This window comes from Homo sapiens, chromosome 2, assembly GCF_000001405.40.
Source record: "Homo sapiens chromosome 2, GRCh38.p14 Primary Assembly".
In the NCBI taxonomy this organism is placed as follows: domain Eukaryota; kingdom Metazoa; phylum Chordata; class Mammalia; order Primates; family Hominidae; genus Homo; species Homo sapiens.
This window is the reverse complement of record NC_000002.12, coordinates 111,217,484-111,222,594: the sequence shown is the minus strand read 5'-3', so window position 1 is coordinate 111,222,594 and position 5,111 is coordinate 111,217,484. Positions and strand designations below refer to the sequence as shown.

Here is a 5,111-nt window from a genome sequence, read left to right as displayed (position 1 = left end):
GCAAAATCTCAGACTTCTTAGCTCATGATGTCCCAGTGAAGAGCTTAAATGTGTGTGTGGTGTGGAGAGAGATAGGCAGCCCCACAGTGAGCCCCAAAAGCCCAAGGAAGCCACGGTGTGGCCAAGAAACTTTTCAGGCAAAGGCAATCAGTGTGAGGGTGCAGCCTTCCTCCTGATAGAGGAAGTTGTAATTTTTATTATTCTGTCTCCCTGGGACTCTGTTCAAGGAGGCTGCTGCCAGGGCAAGGGAAGGTAGGCCTGTGGGGAGGGTCTGTTTTGTCATGAACATTTTCAGGAGGGTGATTGAACAGCATAAAAATGCTACATATATGTTGATTGAGCATATAAAATGGATGTCTCTGCCTCAAGACAGAGGGCACATTTTCTATGCCGAGACCTTTCCTTCTGCCTCATCATGTTTGACTTAGTGACACTGTGGTCCCCACCTGGCTCACCTTCTCAGCACTGATGGGCCAGATATGGTGGTGTGGCAGTTGAAGGGGATGAATGGTTTAGAGCCTTCTTGAGTCAGGCTGCCAGTCCTTGTGGGGCTTTGCCACTGTGTTGCTCCTCAAATTCCACTGACCTGTGACCAGACACAGTCCAAGCAGGCCAGATTCTTTCCTAGTGCAATACCCACTGGGCATTCCAGGTATAGATGATGTCACTGAGAGGGCAGCCAAGCAGGAGGTGGCACCTGGTGCCCAAGTCTAGCCCAACAGGCCAACTTCTGTTGACAAGGGAAGTTGGTGTCTAATTCACTGTGACAGAACGGAACTCTTGCCAAGTCCCTTTTCAGAAAGGGGGAAGCCACTTCAAAATAAAAATAAAGCTGGCTCTACAAAATATGGCGTGCCTGGTATCAATGGCAGAGGTGGCAAGCTCGCAAAAGCTCTATGAACAATAACTTTCCACAGTATAGACACCAAAGGGAAAGACAGCAGAGCACTTAGCTGGCTTAGACCCGTTCTGGTATAACTGGCCCATGAAAAACTATTCAACAACCATATTAGTAATCAAATTGAAATAAATATCAATGAAGAGCTACCTTTTGCCCTGATACATTAACGAAAATTAACATTTCCATTGCAATTTCCAGTGCTGACAGGGATATGGTAAAACTGCTATCTTCTCAGATTGCTCTTGACAGTATGCATTTGTACAGTCTCCCATGGAGATCAATTTATCATGATGTGTTAAGAATTGCAAGAGTGTTCTTAACCCTCTCTACAAAAAAAAAAAAAAAAATCCAAAATATGGAGCAAAGTATCACTTGAGTGTTAATTGTCATTTTGATAGGTGTATGCAGTGCTAAAATTACAGTTCATTATAAATGTTTTAATGTTGTTATGCATGTACATGGTGACTATTGTTCATGTAGCAACATGGAGGCATGCTTTTGACAGGAGCAGGGCACAACATTGTGTGCATATAACCATGACAACATTCACAAGAAAGAGGAGCCCAGTCAAACCCACCAAAATGATAACTGTGGCTGTATTTGGGTGTGGGGGTGAGAGGGTGTTACTTTTTCTTTTTCAAATTTAGTGTAATATGATATTACAATAAAAACCTCTTTTTGAGGCTTGAGGGTGCCAAGCAGAGATGTAAAGCGCAAGTGAGAATACTCCCCAGGTAGCAGGGAGGAGCCAGCTGGGATTGGACTTTGCTTTATTTTGGACAGGGCAAGGGTAGAAGCTGGGCATGGAAGCAGAGAGGCTTTTACTCCCCAGCATGGAAGAGACAAGTTAATTTTTTTTTGAAATAGTTTCGCTCTTGTCACCCAAGCTGGAGTGCAGTGGTGCGATCACGGCTCACTGCAATCTCTGCCTCCCAGGTTCAAGTGATTCTCCTGCCTCAGCCTCCTGAGTAGCTGGGATTACAGGCACCCACCACCACACCCAGCTAATTTTTGTGTTTTTAGTAGAGACAGGGTTTCACCATGTTGGTCAGGCTGGTCTTGAACTCCTGACCTCAGGTGATCTGCCCACCTCGGCCTCCCAAAGTGCTGGAATTACAGGCATGAGCCACCATGCCCCGCCAGAAGAGACAAGCTAATCTTAATTGGGAAAAATTTGGAAACCTCATAGAGGGCTCTTTGGCTCTCTAAATGAGTCTGTCAGGGCCCATGAGGATGCCAGGGGGACCTGAGAAGAAGTAAGATCAACTCTGGAGGCTCCAAGGTGCTGAGGAGGAAGGAGACCAAGGAACAGGATGGGGGCTGGGGGGAGTGGCTTAGAGGCTTCCATGGACAGGTGAGAGTCACAGTGCTTGGGCTTGGGGGAACTGGAAAACGGATTCTGGTCTTCTAGTGGGAGAGAGGTAGAGTGTGGGTCTGTGGATGTGTTCATGATTTTGTCCTCAGAGAGCAAGCTTGAGTTGAAAGAGTCACTGGGATAGGTATATGGAGTAAACACGTGGCATAGAGCTTCATATCAGGATTTCATGTAGTAAAAGCTAGCTGAAAAATGGATGGATGAACAAGTAGATGCATGAGGCGTTATGCTAAGCATTGAGGTGCAATAACGTGGTCTCAATGGCTCTAACACTGTCCAATCATAATTCTCTGTTCACCATGAGTCACTGCAGCTAGCTCTTAGAAATATTGAGATCCGTTTTCTTAAATAATCCCTGCTGAGAATATTTGTCAATCAACCAGAAGGCTTATATGGAGATACTGTGAGCTTCTTACAGTTAAGCCTTACAGGATAAAAAAAAGAAGCCCAAGACAGAGTTCTGTTCTACAAAGGGCACCCATCTATTCCCCTATCCCCACACAAGTTTCTCCTCCTTGAGTTTTGTCTAATATTCTATTAGGGCCAATGCTACAAAATCAGGGGCATCATACATGAAATGAGAGCAATGAATAATTTGTGAGGACAACCGAGAAGAGTCCATTTACGATGCGAGAAACGAACCTGACTGTAAATCAGGTGAAGGCAAATATCTTCTAGAGTTAAAAGCAGACAAGAAAATATGCAAAATTAAGGGGAAACCACTTCATCTTCATGACGTGTGCACTACACTCTCATTTGCACTGGGAGTGACGTTAACTCACCAGTTTATTTGCAAATGGACAAAGAGGAACCTGAAACACTTTCATTACCTTAAAAGAGAAATTTGCCAGCTAAAAAGAATGCTCCCCTGAAAGCTCATAATCTTAGTCAGCCTCTTCTATGCTCCCCAGGCCACTGCTTTGCTGAGTCATTCTACTATGCAGCCCCTCAGACACAAAGCCCGGCGGCCACCTGCCCACAGAGGCACAGAGGGCCAGCCAACTGCAAGCACGGAACTTCAGGATCTTGCTTTTCGGGTTATTTTCACTACTGTAATTTTTTTGTCCTTAGGTAAAAAGGATAATAATTGTGGAAAATTATGTCCTTAGGTTAAAAAGATCCTGGATCATGCCAGATATTAAAATATGGATAAAATTGGCATGATCTTGGAATCTGAACAGAAAAGAAGCTGCTTTTAGCTGTTTTCAACTGTTTTTAGCTTTTCTGTCTAAACAGCTGTTTATTCTGTTTCACAAACTCTCTTAGCAGAATATTTAGGCAAAAAAGAAGAAAAAGAAATTGCAGAATAATAGGTCTAATATAATCCCAGTTCTAATCACACATAAAGAAATCTGAATGGTTTACAAAACCATTGAGAGCGGTGATATAAGGGCTGTGACTATAGAGGAATCTCATTTTCTAAATTTTGTTTTTCTCCAATGTATGAGAACTGGGATTACAGTATACCTATTATTCTGCAAAATGAATCATTAGTTTTTATTTATTACTCTTGCGATTAAAACTAGTAAACATTAAATTTGAGAGATGACCAGGCACTAGGATGCACTTTGCATGGGAAGTTTTCCTAGTGGTGAAATATCTTCTTAATTAAGCTGTTTATACTCTCCTCTATAATCATTTAGTCTCATTTCCTTCTTGTTTTGGTTTTTCCTACAGATGAAGAAAGTGGTCAGCATCTTCCCTAGATCAGAAAAACTGCATCTGTTTTCCCTTTTTATTGTGAAGTTTCAAACACATACAAAGTTAGCAGAAATTATTAAATGATTGCCTCTTGGCCTTTTGGCTAAGATCAAGTGTAAAAAATTATTAAATGAGCAATTAAAAACACTTTTGAAACAAAATTAAAAATAAAAGAATCTATGTAAAGGAATATAAGATATTGAATAAGTAATGAGCTAGAAATTATAAACCTAAAAAAATACAATAACTGAAATACTCAACAGATAGCCTCAAAAGTAGTTTGGAGACAACAAAGAATGAATCCGCAAACTTGAAGACAGATAATTAGAAATTACTCAGTGTAAACAATATAGAGAAAATAGCCTAGAAAAAAAATAAATGGTTTGAGAGATCTATGGATGATAACAAAAAATCTAGCTTTTGTATCATCAGGGTCCTAGAAGTAAGGAGAAAAACTGTTCAACTGAAAAAAATAATCTAATAAATAATGGCTAAAATTTCCCCAAATTTGACAAAAGACATTAAACCCACTGATTCAAAAAGAATAAAGTAGAACAAACCCCAAATAGGATAAATCCAAAGAAATCCATACCAAGACAAATCATATTCAAATTTCTGGAAATTAAAGATGGAAAAAGGTCTTAAGAGAGGTTAAGGGGAAACAATACATTACTTGTAAAACTTAAGCCAGAAAGAAGTGGCACAGCATTTTATAAATAGTGATTTAAAAAAATCGGCAATTCTGAATGCTCTACCTAGTAAGACTATTCTAGGTATATCAGTTTAATTCTGATGCTTGTTCTGTGTCTTCAAACTATTTTTTTTTTGTCTTTTAGCATGCCTTGTAATTGTTTTTTAATAGTCAGATATGAGATACTGGATAAAAGGAACTGCAGAAAGTTGGTCTTTACTAATGTGGTAGTGAGGTGTTGATGGCAGCAGCGCTGCCATCATGCCAGCTGCAGCAGGGAGGCACAGCTGGGGCTCCACATTCCTAGGAGACTGGAAGCCAGGACAAGCTGGAGACTTGCCCTTCTGAGTTGGGGCAGCAGCTCCCCAGGTGCCAATGCACCCACCCAAACCACAGCTGGCAACCCAGGCCTCCCACTTTATGGAGCAGGCAGGGTCCCTGCC

The 5,111-nt window shown here is 41.4% G+C and overlaps 1 long non-coding RNA gene across 7 annotated transcripts in view; it reads left to right on the top strand.

Moving 5' to 3' along the window:
- The window catches only part of MIR4435-2HG (MIR4435-2 host gene), a 299,296-nt gene that overhangs the window by 272,567 nt on the left and 21,618 nt on the right, over positions 1-5,111 (top strand). The window lies entirely within an intron of this gene.